The 20,881-nt window shown below is 47.7% G+C and overlaps 2 protein-coding genes across 28 annotated transcripts in view, besides 1 other annotated feature; one reads left to right on the top strand and one right to left on the bottom strand.

Annotated features, from left to right (window-relative positions):
• Window positions 1-20,881, bottom strand: part of PDXDC1 (pyridoxal dependent decarboxylase domain containing 1) — a 178,484-nt gene that overhangs the window by 96,626 nt on the left and 60,977 nt on the right. For 9 of the 22 annotated variants that reach the window (XM_017023059.2, XM_047433788.1, XM_006720865.3 and 6 more), the window contains one exon: window positions 18,261-20,577. The exons of 9 other annotated variants lie outside the window; for them this stretch is intronic. In XM_017023059.2, the coding sequence (XP_016878548.1) occupies window positions 20,318-20,577 (260 nt within the window). In that variant the 3' untranslated portion in view covers window positions 18,261-20,317. Of the gene's footprint in view, window positions 1-18,260; window positions 20,643-20,881 lie in introns of those variants that run through there. 4 more of the 22 variants (NM_001285447.1, NM_001285448.1, XM_017023063.2 and 1 more) reach the window with 2 other exon arrangements.
• Window positions 519-18,736, top strand: NTAN1 (N-terminal asparagine amidase). Of its 6 annotated transcripts, none has more exons than NM_173474.4 (10): window positions 519-702; window positions 8,494-8,596; window positions 8,673-8,738; window positions 9,043-9,151; window positions 12,186-12,259; window positions 14,917-14,970; window positions 15,472-15,525; window positions 16,527-16,624; window positions 17,906-18,019; window positions 18,383-18,736. In NM_173474.4, the coding sequence occupies exons 1-10, from the start codon at window positions 622-624 to the stop codon at window positions 18,560-18,562; spliced, it is 933 nt and encodes a 310-aa protein (NP_775745.1). In that variant the 5' UTR covers window positions 519-621; the 3' UTR covers window positions 18,563-18,736. The 6 variants fall into 6 exon arrangements, with proteins under 6 accessions (NP_775745.1, NP_001257695.1, NP_001257696.1 ...); XM_047433587.1 differs by lacking the exon at window positions 519-702 and adding an exon at window positions 779-852; XM_047433588.1 differs by lacking the exon at window positions 519-702 and adding an exon at window positions 779-938.
• Window positions 964-1,148: a silencer, noted in NCBI's record as "fragment chr16:15149302-15149486 (GRCh37/hg19 assembly coordinates)". NCBI's record gives its function as "represses an EF-1alpha promoter that drives an FKBP-Casp9 reporter gene in an ReSE screen in HepG2 liver carcinoma cells {active_cell/tissue: HepG2}" and the evidence as "EXISTENCE:reporter gene assay evidence [ECO:0000049][PMID:32094911]".

Below are 20,881 nucleotides of genomic sequence, written 5' to 3'. Positions count from 1 at the left end.
TGTTGCCCAGGCTGGTCTCGAACTCCTGGCCTCAAGCGATCCTCCTGCCTCGGCCCCCCAAAGTGCTGGGATTACAGGCGTGAGCCACCGTGCCCGCCTGATTAGGTTTATTATTACTCATTGAATGCAATCCTACGGAGCTGCACAGCAGGGTCCCAAACTCAAGCTTGTGGAAGGTCACACACCTGGGAAGCGTGGAGCAATGACCTAAAGCGCAGCAGTCGGAGCCAGAACCCGCCCCAGGAACTCGCCCGGAGGCTCTCTTGGCTGGTGCAGCTGCTCCCTGGCAGCTCTCCTTTCCCCGCTCCTTCACTCCCACGCTTTTGGGACTACACTTCCCAGCGCCCCTTGCGGAGGAGGCGGGCCGCGCGCTGCTTCCAGGGCCACTTCCTGGCTTTGGACTACATTTCCCGTGAGGCCTTGCGGCCATGTCCTGGATTTCTCCAGTCTCTTCGGCCGGCACCGCCTCCGCCTGGACTCCACTTCCCGGCAGCGCCCGCGGTGGGGCGGGGCAGGACGAGGCGGGACGCGCGGCCCGAGGGGCGGGGGCGGCGGGCGGCCCGGGGCTGCAAAGCGGGGGGCCGCCGCCTCCCTGGGCCTGCCTGGGCGGCCGCCTCCGCGATGCCGCTGCTCGTCGAGGGGCGGCGAGTGCGGCTGCCGCAGTCAGCCGGGGACCTCGTCCGAGCCCACCCGCCTTTGGAGGTGAGTGGGGCGCGGCGCGGGGCTTCGGGGCGGGCCCGAGGGGAAGCTGCAGGGCGGGCTAGCGCCCCCCTCACGCGACACAGACTTGAAACTTGGCGCTGTTGGCACATCCGGAGCCCCGGCCGTCGGCTCGCGTCTTCCCCTTGAGGGGTCGGGGAGTTTTTGCCTTCTTTAGACTTCAGCGGGCTGCCCCGGAGGCCACTCTCTGACAAGGGAGGGGACGGGGGCCCAGAGAGGTTAGGTGACTTGCCCAAGGTCGCACAGCACTGCGGCTCGGGGACACGCCGGGACCCCCATTCCCCGACGGGGCGGCTGCAGCCCCCATAGGGCTGGGTCCGTTTAGGCAAATCCGGCCGCCCGCCTTCGGGGACCCGCAGCCTGCGGTGAACGTTGCTTCGTCCTTGCGTCCCCGTGAAGCAGGAGGTTATTCCAGGGTGGGCTTCGGAGAGCGTTTGGCCTGGGGGATCTTGGCGGGGACCCCCAGTCCTTCCTCCTCTCTCTCCCCTACCCCCGGGGCGTAGGGCGCCGAGTTATTTTTAGCCGGGAGAGAGAGCCCTGCTTTCCGCAGCTGGGCCATAGGACCACGCCCTGATGCACGGGTTTTGTTTTTGTTTTTTCTGCTTTTGTGCTCAAATAGATCTCTGAACTCTTGTCCACGCTTATGCAGGGACTGTTGGCAAGGGGGTTCTCAGGTTTTAAAAAGAGCGGGGCGTGGCGGCGGGGGCAGACGTCCTATTTGCCATAGATCCTGTTAAAGGGGAATCAATCAGTTCCTTGATTTGAGAGTCAAATATCGAGCCCCTAATATCTGTTGGGCAACGTACTGATCACTGTCCCTGCCCTCGGAGTGTTTATAGTCTAGAAGGGAGAATGGTTTCTGATGAAGAAGGCTCAGATACTATAAACTGTTAAGTACCATAAAGAAAAAGCGTCCCCTTTCACTCTGAGATGGGAAGCACAGGAACCTGACCAAGTGTGTTGGGTTGGGGAAGGCATTTAGAGGTTTCATCTGTCACAGCTGTACAGTTTGTGATTATTTTGTTTGCTTGTTTGTTCTCTATTGGTCTGTCGCCAGAATGTAAGCCTCCTGAAGGCAGATAAGAGTAGTGTCCTCACTTTTGTATCCTCAGAGTGTAGGACGGTCCCTGGCATAGAATTGGCGCTCAGTAAAGATTTGCTGCATAAATGAGGTCACAAAATGACCCCTGAACGTGTTCTGAAGGGTGACAAGGACTTACTGACGGGGAGAAGGCAGACAGCTCTGTGTGATTCTCAGCTTGCATTTCAGGACCGACCATCGTCTGTTAGCCAACATGCACCGAGCTAGGCGTGGTGGCGTGTCACTTTATCCTTGCGTTGTGTTACTGTCCTGTTAGCTAGCGAAGTCAAGAGTAGGACTCACCAAGGAAAAATAATTTCAGCCGCCTGAAGAATTTAGGGGATGCTCTACTTTTATGTCTGTTTGAAAATGTCCGTGATAGAAAGTTAGATGGGTGTCCCGGGCTGCACACTTAAGTGTGGAGGGAGATTTGGTGACATACCGGGGCTGCTTCTCTCGAAGGAAGGTTTTGGCCTATTTAAGAAGACATGTCCTAGAAAGGCTGTGTACTGGGGACCAGTTTGTGTTACAGGAACTTTGGAAGGGGGCGATCACTTTGATTTGCGGCAGTGTAAGTGAAGAAGGATGCAGGCACGAGAGAGATTTGAAAAGGAGAAGAAGGGTGAGGGCATCGCAGCTGGGCAAGCCGCCTGGGGCGCGGCGGGCAGGAGGGGAAGGGCCCAGTGGGTGGGTGTCCTGGCCAGTTTCTCCGGAGCAGCCCGGGTGAGGAGGGGAAGCATGGAAAGTAACCTTACAGGGGTGGATTGTACCCAGATGACCAAATGACCAAGGGGCTTAGATGGACCTTTCACCTACTTAGCAACAGGGAGACATTAAAGGTTGGGTTTTTTGTTTGTTTGTTTGGTTGGTTGGTTTTTTTGAGACTTAGTTTTGTTCTGTGGCCCAGGCTGGATTGCTGTGGCACAATCTCGGCTCACTGCAACCTCTGTCTCCCAAGGTTCAAGCGATTCTCCTGCCTCAGCCTCCCAAGTAGCTGGGATTACAGGTGCATGCCACCACACCCAGCTAATTTTTTTATTTTTAGTAGAGACGGGTTTTCACCATGTTGGCCAGGCTGTTCTTGAACTCCTGACCTCAAGTGATCTGCCCGTCTCGGCCTCCCAAAGTGCTGGGATTACCGGTGTGAGCCACTCCACCTGGCCTGGATTATTTTTATATAATAAAACAGGGTGTCCTCTTTGTAGGAAAGCAAAATATAATAATACAGAAAAAAAAGTATGACTACAACCATTCTTTAGTTTGGTGAAAGTCCTAATGAAGGTTTTTCTTTGTATATAATTTACTTTTTTTAAAAAAATGATAGCTTACTATATGTTGTTTTATAATGTGTCTTTTTCATGTAACGATGTGTTCTGAGTATGGAGTACCAACAGTTAGAAGCCTGTGTGTAGCTATGACTAGCAAATAATAACAATAAGTCATACAGTGGAAGCTGCCAAGCACCACAGCAAGAGTTACTGCTATTCCCATTTTACAGATGAGGACTGTGGGGCACAGAGAGGCTGGGAAACTGGCCCCAGGCCCCACATCCTGGGAGTGGTGAAGCCAGGATTGGAACCCTGGCAGCCTGCCCTTGACTCTGGAGCTGCGCTATTCAGTACAGTAGCCACGAGCCATCTGGTTACTTAGGATTTAACTTAAAAATCAATTAAAATTAGATAAAATTGAAACTCAGTTCCTCAGTTGCAGTAGCCACATTTCAAGTGCCGAGCAGACAGCATGGCTACTAATGAGACAGTGTGAATATAGACGGTGGCCATCCCAGCATGAAGTTCCTTTGGCCAGAGCTGTTTAGAGCCCTCCCTTAGTCACTCTTAACCAGTCACTGGGTACTCGGTAACCAGTCCTGCAACATCTTGGGTAATACGGTTCCACAGAGTCTACAAGATGCTCGCAGCGTAGCTTAGTTCCTGCTTTTATTATTTATTTATTTATTTTTTTTTTGAGAGACAGAGCCTTGCTCTGTCACCCAGGCTGGAGTGCAATGGCACGATCTTGGCTCACTACAACCTCTGCCTCCCAGGTTCAAGTGATTCTCCTGCCACAGCCTCCTGAGTATCAGACATCTGCCACCATGCCCGGCTAATTTTTGTATTTTTAGTAGAGATGGGGCTTCAACATGTTGGCCAGGCTGGTCTGAAACTCCTGACCTCAAGCGATCATCTCGCCTCGGCCTCCAAAGTGCTGGGATTACAGGCGTGAGCCAGTGTGTTGGGCCTCATAATTTCTTATATAGCATTGTGCTTTACAGTTCACAGATCACCTTCATGCCCCTCTCCTGTTTATAAAGGAAGAATTGATAAACAGGACAGCAGGGGTGAGGGTCACATGATCATCCCCCAGGTCACAGCTAGGTGATTGGCTAAGACACAGGTCAACAAGCCACAGCTCATGGGCCGGACCCTGCTTATGTATAGCCTATAGGCCAAGAATGGTCTTTATATTTCTCAAAGGTTGAGAAAAATCAAAATAATATTTTGTAACATGGGAAATGGTATTGAAATTAAAACTTCGGTGTCACCTATAAATAAAGTTTTATTGGAACACAGCCACATCTGTATTGTCTATGGCTGCTTTCACTTCATAATAACAGCAGAGTTGAGCAATTGTGACAGAGACTGCGGCCTTGTAGAACCCCAAATATTTACTGTCTGGCCTTTTTCAGAAAATCTGCTGGTCACTGGGTTAAGAGAATACTGCCATTGAATAGGAACTGGGAAATAGGGATGAGGGACTGAGGGAAAAGCTTTTTTTTTTTTAAGCAAATATTAGTGTCTAGAGCATATTAGAGGTTAAGAAAACTGGGACTACTTGCATATGAATTTATAAAGTAGGACTGTGTGGTTTTCCAAAGAAGGGAAGTTTGGCTAAACTCTTTTTACTACTTAAAAGAGCAAAAATTAGCCAAGTGTGGTGGCGTGCGCCTGTGGTTCCAGCTACTGCAAAGGAGGCTGAGGTGGGAGGATTGCTTGAGCCCAGGAGTTTGAGGTTGCAGTGAGCTATGATCTGGCCACAGCACTTCAGCCTGGGCAACAGAGTGAGGCCTTGTCTCTAAAAAAAAAAAAAAAAAAATTAAAAATAAAGTAGAGGCTGGGCACAGTGGCTCATGCCTATAATCCTAGCACAAGTGTGGTGGCGTGCGCCTGTGGTTCCAGCTACTGCAAAGGAGGCTGAAGCAGGAGGATCACCTGAGGCCAGGAGTTCGAGACCAGCCTGGGCAACACAGGGAGACCCCATCTCTACAAACAGTACAAAAACTAGCCAGGTGTGTCGGCTCATGCCTGTAGTTCCCAGCTCCTTGGGAGGCTGAGGTGGGAGGATTGCTTGAGGCCAGAGGCTGCAGTGAGCCACGATCTCGCCGCTGCACTCCAGCCTGGGAGACAGTAAGACCCTGTTTAAAAAAAGAAATTAAAAAATAGAGCAAAGCAGTCTACTGTTTTAGTTTTCTGGCATTCTCTCTTCTGATAATTTTTGCTTTTATTTCTTTGGGAAATCGTAGGAGCTGTGTTGAAGAGAGACATGATTTTTGGTCTTTGTGAAAGCAGTAATTAATTTCTCACAAATAGCTTTGCTTTTGAGTGGTGACCCAATTGTGAACATGAGTGTTAAAAATTCGCCTTTGCGCCCTCCCTTCTCTTCCCTTCCCTCAAAGAACAAAGCAGAAGGTAAGTATCTCAGGAGTAATCAAGAGGGAATTCTGAATTCTCCCCTGTTATTCTGAACTAAGATGAGGCAAGAAGTGGAATGAGAAAATGAGAGGCTGTCACCTGTACAGGTGTTCTGAGTTTTAGAGCAGTCACACCTGTTTCTCACTGACTTCTGGAGCAAGCAAGGCTGTCTTGCCCATCTAATTTTACACTGCAGTTCATTTAATCTTTAGTTTGTTTCTTAAATTAAGGGGCTTGTCTCATTTTCATTGATACCTTGCTTCCAGTTAATGGAAGTTTATAAACAGAAGAAAACACCATGTAAGTAATCAAGCTGATCATTATGTTTATTACATCTCTTCTTTTAGTTTAATCTTAATTTTTTTTTTTTTGAGGCAGGGTCTTGGTCTGTCACCCAGGCTGGAGTGCAGTGGTGCAATCATGGCTCGCTGCAGCCTCCACCTCCTGGCTGCAAGTGATCCTCCTACCTGAGCCTCCAGAGTAGCTGGGACTACAGGCACATGCCACCACACCCAGCTAATTTTTGTAATTTTTGTAGAGACAGGATCTTCCTTGTTGCCCAGGCTGGTTTTGAACTCTTAGGCTCAAGCAGTCCTCCCTCCTCAGCCTCCCAAAGTGCTGGAATTACAGTTGGGAGCCATCACACCCAGCTGCTCTTATGTTTTATTAAGTGAGCGCTAACCTAAATTAGCACCAGTCATGCGAAATGGCAAGAAGCTGATAGAAGACTAAGACTGCAAAACTGTCTTCCTGTGTAGGCAATACATACATACGTTGTCTAGACATTTGAGGAAGATTTTGTTCATCCAGGAGTTTGTTGCAAGTAAGAAGGAAATTATGATACATTGTAGTGTTGTATCAATTTAATATTTTGAAAAAGTTTTTGTTAAATAACCACTGAATTTTTAACCACTGAATTTTTTTTACAAGCTTACTAAATAAGTGTGTACAAACACTCAGATTATTGACACTTAGTATTAACATACCTTTCGTAAATTTGCCTTATCCATTTTGTTTTTGTATTCTAACAATAACTATGTGATAGAACATTGAGAGAAGAGAGGACAACAGCAACAGGAAATCACTCATGTTTGCTTTTTTGGCACAGCCATGGTTGTACTGGTGAAATTTCCTTCCAGTATTTTTCTCTATGGGTATAAGCATTTAATCATTGTTGTATTATGGCACATTTATAGCTCTTTAAAACATTTTTTATACTTTTGTATCTTGCTTTTCAATTAGCATTTCAAAACTCTTTTTCCCATAGTTTTCATTTCTCATGACTGTGCAGTTAGTGGCTGTGACTTGGTTCTGTGCCCAATTTACTTACCTTTTCCATTGCTGCTCCCAGCTTTTTGCCATTACAAATTACACAGGGGGCTGGGCATGGTGGCTCATGCTATAATCCCAGCACCTTGGGAGGCCAAGGCAGGTGGATCACTTGAGGCCAGGAGTTTGATACCAGTGTGGCCAACATGGCGAAACCCAGTTTCTACTAAAAATACGAAAAGCTGGGCATGGTGGCGCACACCTGTAATCCCAGCTACTGGGGAGGCTGAGGCACGAGAATCGCTTGAACCTGGGAGGTGGAGATTGCAGTGAACTGAGATCACGCCACTGCACTCCAGCCTGGGCAACAGAGCGAGACTCTGTCTCAAAAAAAAAAAATAAGATAAAAGAAATAACACAGGGATGAACATATTTTGAGTTATTTCCTTAGGACAGATTTCCAGAAGTGAAATTACTAGGTTAGGGACTAAGGTAAAAAAGCGGAGGCCAGGTATGGTGGCTTATGCATGTAATCCCAGCACTGTAGGAGGCCAAGGTGGGTGGATCACTTGAGTCCAAGAGTTTGAGACCAGCCTGGGCAGCATAGGGAGGCCCCATCTCTACAAAAAGTATAAAAATCAGCCAGGTGTGGCGGTGTGTGCCTGTACTCCCAGCACTTTGGGAGGCCAGGGTGGGTGGATTGCTTGAGCCCAGGAGTTTGAGACCAGCCTGGGGAGCATAGGGAGACCCCGTCGCTACAAAAAGTATAAAACTCAGCCAGGTGTGGCGGTGTGTGCCTGTACTCCCAGCACTTTGGGAGGCCAGGGTGGGTGGATTGCTTGAGCCCAGGAGTTTGAGACCAGCCTGGGCAGCATAGGGAGGCCTCATCTCTACAAAAAGTATAAAAATCAGCCAGGTGTGGTGGTGTGTGCCTGTACTCCCAGCACTTTAGGAGGCCAGGGTGGGTGGATTGCTTGAGCCCAGGAGTTTGAGACCAGCCTGGGGAGCATAGGGAGACCCCGTCGCTACAAAAAGTATAAAACTCAGCCAGGTGTGGTGGTGCAAGCCTGTAGTCCCAGCTATTTGGGAGGCTAAGGTGGTAGGATCGCTTGAGCCTGGGAGGTGGAGGCTGCAGTGAGTTGAAATTGTACCACTATACTCCAGCTTGGGTGACAGAGTGAGAGACTGTCTCAAAAAATAAAAAAGAGGGGATGTGATTTCAGAGCCATCCATCCACTATTCCTGTGTAATCTGATTCTCTTTACAATGGTAAAATTGTTAAGAGTCTCACACTCTTTAGTAAAGAACTGTGATAGCTGGGTGTGGTGGGTCATGCCTGTAATCCCAGCACTTTGGGAGGCCAAGGCAGGAAGATTGCTTGAGCCCAGGAGTTCAAGACCAGCCTGGGCAACATAGTGAGGCCCTGTGTCTTTAAAAAACAAACAAACAAACAAAAAACTATAATAAAGGATTTTTGCATCTCATTTCATAGGTTACTATGACATCCGATTTCATAGGTTAAAAAAACCACCGCGCAGAACCGCATCGTTTTCTCTGCATTGTTCTGAATGACCGTGGCTGCTGCCTTTTTCTTTGAGCCTCTCTGTCCACTAACACACTCCCCACACACTAGCGTGCTGCCCACGCAGAGCCCACTTTGGCTCTCTCCACATCTTTAGTTTTTCCATCCTCACTAATTTACATCACTATTTTATTTTTTTTTTAATTAAACAGGAAAGAGCCAGACTTCTCAGAGGTCAGTCTGTTCAACAAGTGGGACCCCAGGGCCTTCTGTATGTTCAGCAAAGAGAGCTTGCAGTGACCTCCCCAAAGGATGGTAGGTTAGGAAGCAGTGAATTGGGCGTTATCCCAAAAGGCTATTGGATATTTTATTTTATTTCTTTTTTAAACAGGCTCCATCTCCATTCTGGGTTCTGATGATGCCACTACTTGTCACATTGTGGTCCTGAGGCACACAGGTATGATGAGAGAGGTGAAGGAAACCATTACTTAAACTGACCCAACCTTTGGGACCATTGAATTTCTCGTGTTGAGTTTCCTGGTGTCTTGTTGGAAGCGGACTCCGCTTACCTTTTTTCTGGTCTGCATGGTGTCTCCCTGGTGTCCTGGTCAGAATGGGTTGGCTGGGGAGCACAGACCTGTCCGTTTTTCCCCTACAGGATATTCAAAGATGAGGCGGTCCGGAGGGACAGGCGGAGTCTCGGCCTGCGCACTGCACTCGCATCAGGGAATAACTTGAGTCCTTTCACCCTTGTTCTTCAGGTAATGGGGCCACCTGCTTGACACATTGTGACGGAACCGACACCAAAGCTGAGGTCCCCTTGATCATGAACTCCATAAAATCCTTTTCTGACCACGCTCAATGTGGAAGGTGAGATCTACGCTGCTCTCATAGGTGAATTGAGATCTTGGAACCGTCGCATACAGGACGTGGCTGTGGAAGCTGTTAGGGGAACACAGGATGCCACCACTGCCGTGTCTGCCTCGTTCCCCTGGAACAGAACCTGGCACGACGTGGGCACTGCGTCAGCAGTGGTTGAGTGAATGAGTGGGTGCTGGGCACAGGCAAGGAGTCTGTGCTGGATTTGAGATGGAAGGCTTGACTTTGAACTTGATGTCGTCTCAGGAACGTCGAGGTTGCGATTTTCACATCGTTTTGCTCTCCCCCGGGTGTGGTAGCTCTCCATGCAGTCATTCCTCCCGCAGTTGCTTGTTAAATGCTTCCTCTCACCTACACCTTGTAGTTTCTAGGGACACAGCAGTGAAGAGTAGACAGAAAGCCCGGCCCAAGGTGTTTGTATTCCGAAGCCGAGAGACTGTACACAAGATGGGGTGTTGGGTGGTGAGGCGGGGCTGTGGAGAAAACGAGGCCAGGAAGATGTGGGGACCGCTAGGGGGCGAGGCATGTAGTTTTTTTTCTTGTTCTCTTTTTGTTGTTGAGATAGGGTCTTGCTGTGTCGCCCTGTCTGGAGCACAGTTGTGTGATCTCAGCTTACTGCAGCCTTGACTTTGTGGACTCAGGTGATTCTCCGACCTCAGCCTCCCAAGTAGCTGGGACCACAGGTGTACACCACCATACCCAGCTAGCTTTTTTTTTTTTTTTTTTTTTTTTTTTGGTAGAGACAGGGTTTTGCCAAGTTGCCCAGGCCGGTCTTAAACTCTTGGGCTCAAGTGATCCTCCCAGCTGAGGGGTATAGTTTTAAATTCCAGCAGATTGGTAGTTTCCCCAAGGATTGCTGGATAAGAAGCGGCCTCTAGCCTGGGTGCCCCCACAGCACCTCATCCTCTCTCACTGCAGTAAAGTAGCCGCTGCCTCCATTTGACAGAGACGGGCAACTGAGGCTCGATGTGCTGGAGCACACAGGAGCTAGGTGGAGGCCGACGACACAGGCCTGCTGTCAAGACCACTGTTCACACACCTGTCCCCTCTCCTTGCTCTTTGTGGAGACCTGGCAGGTGTTGCTCTCATTTTACTGGAAGTCTAAGGCAGCCATTGAGTGAACTACTCCCATCATATACGAAGGCTTAATCCTAGGAGTCTAAAAAGGAAAGAGAGAGTTCTCTGGGAGAGATTTGCTAGTCAATACTGGTCGATTCTAAATTCTCCCTCTGTGGTCTGTGCCAAGGCTGGGCTGGCTTCATGGACACGTGACCCATGCAGGCCCAAAATGGTATTTTCATTTTCCTATCATCTTGGCCCCCGCAGGGGGACGTAATCAATGCCATTATGTTGCCACACACTCTGCTCCGTGGTTCTCAGAACGTGCTTGTCAGCTCTTCCTGATCTGTTGTAGAACTGTGATCGCTCAGGGAGTCAGAGGCAAACCTGGTGGCCCAGTGGCAAAGCCATGGTGGTCGCAGCTCTCCTTACTGCTACTACTTGGAGTTTATTATGAGGCCCCTTGAGGCTGTGCCCTATGTTGGGTACATCCAAGCTTCTGGTTCATCCCTTAGGAAGATTTTGTGTCTGAGAAGGCAGCGTAAAGTCTGGCAACACTTTGCCGAGCGTGAATTCGCCCACTTGACGGGCTGTGGAAAAGGGGGTTAGTAGATGAGTGTGGGAAACACTGGGTTCAAGAAAGTTAGTTGGATTTTTCAGTCGCAGGACTTCTCAAGAGCTTCACTGTGCAATGCGCAGTGTGACTCCTAAGGAGGGCTTCCAGCAGGCAGTTGCCCAGTCTTTTTGTTTTGTTTTGTTTTTGTTTTAGAGCCGGGGTTTCACCCTGTCACCCAGGCTAGTCTCAAACTTCTGGGCTGAAGCATTCCTTCCACCTCTGCCTCCCGCGTAGCTGGGAATAGAGGTATATGCCAGCACACCTGGCCTCAAACCTTTTTTTTTTTTTTTTGAGACAGAGTCTGGCTCTGTCACCCAGGCTGGCATGCAGTGATGCAATCTTGGCTCACTGCAACCTCTGCCTCCTGGGTCCAAGTGATTCTCCTGCCTCAGCCTCCCGAGTAGCCGGGATTACAGACGCCCACCACCACGCCCAACTTACTTATTTATTTTTTCCCCCTGAGACGGAGTCTTGCTCGATTGCCCAGAGCTGGAGTGCAGTGGCGCGATCTCAGCTCACTGCAACCTCTGCCTCCCAGGTTCAAGCAATTCTCCTGCCTCAGCTTCCCGAGTAGCTGGGATTACAGGTGTGCCACCATGCCCGGCTAATTTCTTTTCTTTTTTTTTTTTTTTTTGAGATAGAGTCTTACTCTGTAGCCCAAGCTGGAGTGCAGTGGCACGATCTTGACTCACTGCAACCTCTGCCTCCCAGGGTCAAGCAGTTCTCCTGCCTTAGCCTCCCAAGTAGCTGGGACTACAGGCACATGCCATAATGTCCAGCTAATTTTTTTTTGTATTTTAGTAGAGATGGAGTTTTACCTTGTTGCCCAGGCTGGTTGCAAACTCCTGAGCTCAAGCAATCTGCCCGCCTCAGCCTCCCAAAGTGCTGGGATTACAGGCGTGAGCCACTGCGCCCGGCCTAATTTTTGTATTTTTAGTAGAGATGGGGTTTTACCATGTTGGCCAGGCTGGTCTCAAGACTCCTAACCTCAAGTGATCCGCCCACCTCAGCCTCCCAAAGTGCTAGGATTACAGATGTGAGCCACTGCACCTGTCCTGTGCCTGTGCTCTTCCAGAGCAAAGTTCCCCACTGGTGCATGGAGGCGGCATCACATTTGTGTTCAGATACGGATCCCCTCAGTCATCAGGGCCCCTGGGCAGGGTCCCCAGAAGCTCGCCACTGGCCTTGGCAGTGTGCTGCCGATACTTTCTTTTGCGGTGGCACGAAGATGACCTGCAGCTCTGCTGTAGAGCAAGTGTTCATGGAAACTGAGAATGAAAGTTCAAAGTGAGACCAGCGCACGCACCGGTGTCTTCTTCTGGCCTCTGACCCGTCTCATCTCTTTGCCAGGCTGGAAGTACACCTTGTTGGAGGCTTCAGTGACGACAGGCAGTTGTCACAAAAACTCACTCATCAACTTCTTAGTAAGTTCATTTTTTTTTTCTTTCCCCCAAATTGGACATAAATATGTACCCATATTTGCTTGGGTTAAAAATCCCAATTGGTACAAAACCCAAGAAGGGCACACCCACTTGGAGCAGCACAGAGAAACAGACTGCCCAGCTTGGAATTTCACAGAAAGACTGAATGCGTGGAGCTCATGTGTAGGGAGGGGTAGCAGGGCTGGGGACAAGATTTTCTACTAAAACAGCAGTGAACACATTCCAAAATAGTAAGTGCTCTGAATTGTGTGAAAGCAGAGCCACCCTCCCTCCTGGCAAAAATGTCCATTTTAATCTGCAGAAAATTAAAACACTGATGATACCATTTTTTCCCTATTAGCAAATTTTTTCTTTTTTTTTCTTTTTTTGAGATGTAGTCTTGCTCTGTTGCCCAAGTTGGAGTGCAGTAGCATGATCTCGGCTCACTGCAAGCTCTGCCTCCTGGGTTCAAGCAATTCTCTTGCCTCACCCTCCTGAGTAGCTGGGATCACAGGCGTGCGCCACCACACCCACCTAATTTTTGTATTTTTGGTAGAAATGGGGTTTCACCATGTTGGCCAGGCTGGTTGTGAACTCCCGACCTGGTGATGCACCTGCCTCGGCCTCTTAAAGTGCTGGGATTACAGGTGTGAGTCACCACACCTGGCCTAAATTAGCAAATATTTTCAAAAAAGAAAGAAAGAAAACATTGTCGTGTGTTGACTAACCACCAGGCCATGAAGCAAGCTTACTCATATGATGGTACAGCCTGTCTGGGAAGCAATTTGGCATCATGACTGAAGGCCTCACTCTGCCACTCAGGCTGTAGTGCAGTGGCGCCATCATGGCTCACTGCAGCCTCAACCTACTGGGCTCAAGTGATCCTCCCTCCTCAGCCTCCCAAGTAGCTGTGACTAGGTGCATGCCACCATGCCCAGCTGATTTTTAAATTTTTTGTGGAGACAGGGTCTCGCCATAACTCTTAAAAAAGGTTCATATCCGGCCGGGCACGGTGGCTCATGCCTGTAATCCCAGCACTTTGGGAGGCCAAGGCAGGTGGATCACCTAAGGTCAGGAGTTCGACACCAGCCTGGGCAACATGGTGAAACTCTGTCTCTACTAAAATTACAAAAATTAGGCCGGGTGCGGTGGCTCATGCCTGTAATCCCAGCACTTTGGGAGTTCAAGGCAGGCCGATCACTTGAGGTCAGAAGTTCAAGACCAGCCTGACCAACATGGAGAAACCCCGTCTCTACTAAAAATACAAAATTAGCCAGGCATGGTGGTGCATGCCTGTAATCCCAGCTACTTGGGAGGCTGAGGCAGGAGAACCGCTTGAACCCGGGAGGTATAGGTTGCGGTGAGCTGAGATCACACCATTGCACTCCAGCATGGGCATCAAGAGCTAAACTCCATCTCAAAAAAAAAAAAAAAAAATTAGCTGGGCATGGTGGCGCACGCCTGTAATCCCAGCTATTCAGGAGGCTGAGGCAGGAGAATCGCTTGAATCTAGGAGGTGGAGGTTGCAGTGAGCTGAGATCACACCACTGCACTCCAGCCTGGGTGACAGAGCGAGACTTCGTCTCAATAAATAAATAAATAAATAAATAAATAAATAGTTCATCCTTTGACCCAGTAATTCCCCTTGTGGAAATATATGCTAAGAAAATAATCTGAAATGTGCATAGAGATTTGAACCTGAAGATGAGCGGTAGAACATTACTTATAACAGGAAATCTGGTGTCATCAGAATAATAATTATGTAGTCGCTAAAAAATAACACATGAAAGGGTGAGAATTACATGGGAAAATACCTATGCACAAGCAAATCAGGATATAAAATTGTCGACTGGGCGCAGTGGCTCATTCCTGTAATCCCAGAACTTTGGGCAGCCGAGGCAGGTGGATCACTTTAGGTCACGAGTTCGAGACCAGCCTGGCCAACATGGTGAAACCCCATCTGTCTCTACTGAAAATACAAAAATTAGCCAGGCATGGTGGCGCAAGTCTGTAATCCCAGCTACTTGGGAGGCTGAGGCAGGAAAATCGCTTGAACCTGGGAGGTGGAGACTGCGATGAGCAGAGATCGCTCCACTGCACTCCAGCCTGGGTGACAGAGCAAGACTCCATCTCAAAAAAAAAAAAAAAAAAGATATAAAATTGTCTTTATAGTCAGCTCTGCTGAGCTTAGAAAAATATGGAAGAAAATACACTAATTATTAACAGTGTTAGGATTATGGACATTAAAAACCGACTTCCTTATGTTCTCTTGTATTTTTCAGATCTGTTACAGTGGCCAGATTTTTGTTTTTGTAATTCTGATAATCAGGAAAACAGTTTAGTTAGGAGAAAAGTAAAAATCTTATAAATCCATGGGTCCCCGCAAAACTCTCAGAATGAAGAGAAAAATGGGAAGGCTCAGCCCAGGCTCCTTCGGGCCTGAGGCTGAGAATGTGGCCATCTCCTGGCGGTCAGGGTTCTGTGGTGTCAGCTCCCTAGTGTCTGGCCCCATAGGCCAGGCTGTGGCAGTGTGGGCGCGGGCTGTAGGGCGGAGCACACTCAGTTGGCTGCCGTCCCTCCCTGTCGTTGGCTTGCTCAGCAGTTTGTTCTGGTAACTAGAGGAACTTTTCTGACTTCTGGTCTTAAAATTCTCATCATAGGTGAATTTGACAGGCAAGAAGATGACATTCACTTAGTGACATTATGTGTGACAGGTAAGTCCTGCCATTTGCCCCAAAGCAAAGATGTGGGTCTCAGGACCGTTTTGTCCCCAGTCTTGCAGTGGGCCCAAGCACCGGCACACACTGCTGTCACTGCTTGGCCACCATCTGTTCCGGCTCTTCCTGTGGTGGGATGGCCTTCCCCTTCCCCTTGCCCTCGTCCACCATCTGCCGAGCCTCAGTTCCAGTGCAGCCCCCTCGTCTACCAGGAAGGAGGGCACTGGATCTCAGAGGAGCTGCCACCCGTGTGGCAGACAGGGTGCACAGAGAAGGTGGGGTGGGAGTGGGGACCGATTCTGCAGCTGCCAGTTTGTTCAGTATAAACCCCCCTGCCTTGGGACAGGGTAGGGAAACAGGGCCACAATCCCTTTCATTTTCTGGAATTTTCCTCCCTTTCTGCATCGAGGAGCTCCTCCTTCGCCTTTATTATACAAAGTAAAAATAATCATTTGGTATTTCTTTAAAAAGTGTATCTTAAACATTCTTATTTTGTAGAATTAAATGACCGGGAAGAAAACGAAAACCACTTTCCAGTAATATATGGCATTGGTAAGTAGTGTGCATCTTTTGTGGGTTGGAGTCTTGGTCACATGTGCAGTTAAAGTCTAATTCAGCAAACCAATGACCCCACTGCTGTCAGGATGGGACAGCTTTGGGTTCAGATCCCAGCTACTCCGAACATCTGCTGTGAGGCCTTGGGCAAGTAGCTTAACTTCTCTAAGCTTTACCTATAAAACTGAGATAACATTCACTTCTTAAGACTTTGAAGAAGCAACGTGGTAGCAAATAGAAAGGACAGGCCATGCCCACCCTTCCCAGGAGCTGGGAAAGTGCCTGGTTTTGTTTCCCTCTCCCCCCAGCACCCCAGGCCCGGCGTGCTTTTCTCCTGCCAGTGCTCTGGGGGAGGAAGGCAGGCACTGGAATCCTTTTATACATCAGGAACTGAGGAAGGTTTTGCTTGAGAACAGAAATCCTCCAAAGTGTAAAACTCTTAGGCTAGAGAAAACCTAGAACCATCCTCCCTGCTTGGCAGCCCCAGGACTCCCGCGGAAAAGGCATCATGGAATCGGCTCTATTTCCGAGGGCTTCTGCTGTAGCGGTGATACTTGATTGATTTAGCTGGGTGGTAGGTACACAGTGTTCACTGTTCTATTCTCTGTAACTTCGTGTATGTATAAAATACTAAATTGTGAAGATTCAAACAGAACGATCACAGTTCACCCAGCCACCCCTGGCCGTACACCAGTAGGGATGACCAGAGGTTTTGCTACATGTCCGACTGAAGGAATGGCTGCCTCCCATGTGGAAAGCAGCTCTTGGTTTAGAACAAAATCTCACCGAGTCCAGCTCGAGCCTCAGCGATTTTCACCGAGATGCTTGGGGTAAAGGTTGCATTTTCCCCCTCCAGGGAGGGGGAAGTCCAGATACTTAGGAGCCATTCTGTTCACTTTCCTATCTTTCTCTTAGGAGTGGTGGTAGAAATGTAAGACTGTGCAGACTTTCCGCTTTGGTCTTTTGTCAATTCAGAGTCATCCTGTTGTCCCTCACAGCTGTCAACATTAAGACTGCAGAGATTTACAGAGCATCCTTTCAAGATCGGGGTCCGGAGGAGCAGCTTCGTGCTGCGCGAACTTTAGCAGGAGGACCAGTGAGTTTCAAATCATCTTTGTTAAGGGGTTAAAAAAAAAAAGGCATCAAATGTCAAGGCCTTAAGTTTTTGGGATCTTAGAAAAGTTTATGCTGTCAGCTTCTTTATAGCCGTACATTATCAGGGACCAGCACATACATATACCCCTCCCCACACTTGCTGTCTCAAAATAGTAATGAACATCTTTAGGTCATCAGCTCCAGTTCTCTGCCTAAAAGGTGTGGGAGGTAAGTGTGAACCCCAGCATCCGAATTCAAAGAGAACAAACTTCTGTTACTTTGTAAGAGCTTTTCTATAAAGTTCTACAAAGAGAGGAGAACTGGGACGCAGGAGAGAGGTTTCTCCCCTCTGCACTCAGGACTATGCATTCTTTTGGACCGGGTCACTGAAGAGCAATTTGCTGGAACAATTTAATTAACCCAAAATAATGATCAAATTAATTTAAAGTCTGATTCCCTTAGGGTGCTTAATTAAATTACACTGTAATTTTAAAAGTTAGAAAACTGAAAACCCAAGGTTTATATGCCATTTGAGGAATGGGTGAAAGAATTCTTTAAAAATGCTCAAAGTGTGAAAAAACGGAAATCACATTCAGGCCACCCCAAAGAAATCTTCTCATTTATGAAATGCTGATGTTTTCACTGGGAAATGTGTTTGGATTCGGAGCCAACCCTTTTAACATTTTTAGGACTTCTCAAGGAGTGTAACAGGCCTAGTTTAGTTGATATTCAGAACATATTTCAGTGTCAGTTACCAAAGTGAATATTGCTAGGTAAGCTGAGGCTGCCATTGGCAAATTTGGGAATTCAGGGACTGGATCATTTGGCAAATTAGCTTCTTCTTTTGATGGGGCAGCAGGCACTGTATGCTTTTAAATTGCAAGGTGATCAGTTGTTTGGGGTATAAATAATGAGGCAATGGGAACACAGACTTTAGTCAGAAGCGCCTGGGTTTGAGGTCCAGCTCTGAGGCTTACTGGACACGTAACCTGGGAAATGGGCCTTGTTTCTCTGAGCCTCAAGTTTTCACCCCAAATGGGAAAAAACACCCTCGTCCTGTGGGACTGCTGTTGGCGCTCAGCAGTCGTGCGTGCCCCACAGTGTGCAGAAGCAGACACACTGGACGTGTTCAGTAGCTGGCAGCTTTTGTTATTTGAGACAGGTTTTAAGAAGCTTAGGCAGATAAATGCATGAAAGGACTACACTGGAGCTTGCGTTACTGGGAGGGTTTGAAAAGTGGGTGACATTCCTGAAATTCTATCCTTGACACGTTCTTTTTTAGATGATTAGCATTTATGATGCAGAGACAGAACAACTTCGTATAGGACCGTACTCCTGGACACCATTTCCACATGTGGATTTCTGGTTGCACCAAGATGACAAGCAAATACTAGAGGTGAGAGTTTACAGGCTGGGTAAGTCTTAAATCTCTGCACCCTGGTTTCCCCATCTGTAAGAAAAAAAGGGTTTAGACCAGGTCATAGCTGCTTTCCCTTTGGCGGGTAGTAACTTTTTGGATGCCATTGACAGACCCCATTTAACTTGTATATCAAATGGGGATATGTCAAGTCCTAGATGGAAATGTGTGTGGGTAAAGCAGTAAGCAATCAACTTTTTTCTTACTAATTCAGGCCACCTCATTTCTTAACGTATTTTATTATATATATTTGTGTCCAAGAACAAAGATACTTTGACATCTTTATCACAGCAGGGGACAGTAAGGTTGGCTTCTCTAATGCCCACCATCTTGTGTTTTCAGAATCTTTCCACTTCGCCTCTGGCTGAGCCACCCCACTTTGTTGAACATATTAGATCTACCTTGATGTTTTTAAAAAAACACCCATCTCCAGCTCACACACTGTTTTCTGGAAATAAAGCCCTACTCTACAAAAAAAATGAAGATGGCTTGTGGGAAAAGATCTCTTCTCCAGGAAGTTAAAAAACATGAATTACCAAAGAAAGCACCTTCTTGGCCTGACAGACCATTGGTGGGGCTGGCACGAATCCAGATCTGGATCCTACATCTGTTGGGTCTTAGGCCTCCTTCCCTCCTCAGTGTCTTTCAAATGACTTTCATCAAATGACTTTCAAAATAAAACCTTATTTTGGCAAAGGCATTTGTTGAGACTTATTTTTTGGTTTACTAAAAAATTGATGTCCAGTTTTTTTTTTGGTCGGTAATAACGGGCAGAGGAGAACCTACCTCTCACTGGTCTATCGGCAGCTATTTCAGGTACGTGGGTAAGTCTTTTGTAATAAGATTTATAAACTGAATTCACTGGTAACAATTTCAAGAACCTTTATTGAAACCAACATTCAAATAATATCTCAAGGGTGAAATGTTTCAGCAAAACCAATTTAACAATTCCAAATATATATAAAAACATGTAATTTTCTTGAAGGTGATAATTTACCCCTCCCCCATTTTATCTGCTATACTTCATTGCACCAAATAGGGAAGACTGTTTAATCATCTGCACCAAAAAAAACCCCCTGCATTTTGACAAGTGTAAATGTCAAAAATCCCATCAAATCAGAGTATAATTATAGGCTTAATATACTATAACTAAGGCTTCCAATACTACAGTCCAGAAACCCAGTGTGAATTTTCCCATTTTCAGGTCTCCCAAAAGCTTGACTGCTGGATTAAGAAGGCACAGGGGCCATTACTTACGACAAAGTGACGCAGTACTTCGGAAAAGTAGGAACGGGCAGTGCCAGCGAGCTTCTACTGACTTAAGCAGGGTGCCCGGCTGGATCAGCGTGAGAGAGTGCTCTGCTGGCTCCTGTTTCTGAGTTGGGCCCAGGCGAGCTGCCAGGGCAGTAGAAGCTTCAGTGGGAGACAGGTCAAAGGGGTACTTGTTTTCAGATTTTAACCAGGTGGGTGCTACGTAGCACACGGAAGAGCAAGCTCTTAAGGGTAGCATCTATCAGGTTTTCAGATACTAAACAGAAATGAGCACAGTCTGTACTTGTGTGCCAATTTTAAAAGCTTTGCCAGTATTTAAAAATATATGGTCAGGAGGAGACTTTACAGTTTCTCTTTACAAACGGTATATAATGGGAGAAATGGCCTTGTGGCAGAGGACAGTCCCAGACAGCAGCCTTGCCACAGCTCAAGTAGACACAGTCCTTACTAAGTCTCCACGAAGAGCAGTAGCTGGGGAGGGCTTCTGATGCTCTTATTTACAATCCCACAATCACTGCTCTCCTTCAAGTCTAGCAGTCCCACTGTATATTGCAACTTGATCGTACTAAAGACCGACAGCAAAGGATACAGCCAGTCTCGCCTCTGTGAAGTGTTGCAGAGAACCTGGAGAGTGCTAATGAAAAGCTGTTTTACCAAAAAGTTGCCACGGGCAACCTCATATACTTAGGCTTATGTTTAGAAAGAGCAAGGGTGCTACTGGTAGACACTTGAAATTCGAAGTGTTTTTTGTGAATAAAATGTGTTTATGGTAACTTAGGGAAAAGTCGTAGTAGGACAGCAAACGTGGTTCTACATGTACATGAAGTTAGACAAGCTGACTCCCCTCCTAGAAAGCCTACCTTTCAGGCACATATTTGTGCCAAAATCCCAGTGAAGCACAAACAACAGTAATTTATATTAGTATGTGGCACAGTTCACATTTCCAATAGAACTTCATCTTCCCTGAAACAATACTCAGTACAGTCTCAAACCACACAATGAGTCTCATCTTAAGCTCTCCGGTCCTTCTACCTGTGAGTGGTCATCTTCTGGGTGTGGGACCCCTTTCTGGAAGGCCTCGGTCTGGTCGGTGTGCTGAGGGCTGGGAGCCCCTGGGTGTCCCTCAGTGCTGCTGGCCTCGAGGGTGATCTGCTCCGGCCCACTGGATAGGCGCTCCACCTTTTCTAAGTCTTCAATGTGACTGACTGAGCTGGTCTCACTCAAAGCATCTGAACCTCGCAGGGACCTTTTAAAAGGCTTCTGGCCTACAGAAAGGGCAGACAGACTGCGCTGAAACTCAGTGAGGATACTTCTGCAACACAGGCTGTCTCTGCAACAGATAATTGCTTTATTTCACAACACAGCTTCAGCAGAAACCTTTACTGGCTCTGAGGTGTTTTAGGAGATGAGAAAACCGAGAGCTGCTAGCTTGACACCAACATGCTCCCCAGGCCGGGGAACTCTAAGGTCATCTTCATTAGGAAACGCCCAGGAGGGTAAACACCACAGTGACAATGTCATCTTTCAAGACCCCAACTTCCCCTTAGCGCACTACCGTGGGATTTCTTC

Source organism: Homo sapiens, chromosome 16 (genome assembly GCF_000001405.40).
Source record: "Homo sapiens chromosome 16, GRCh38.p14 Primary Assembly".
NCBI lineage: Eukaryota > Metazoa > Chordata > Mammalia > Primates > Hominidae > Homo > Homo sapiens.
Note: the sequence above shows the minus strand (reverse complement) of the source record. Positions and strands in the feature narration are given on the sequence as shown.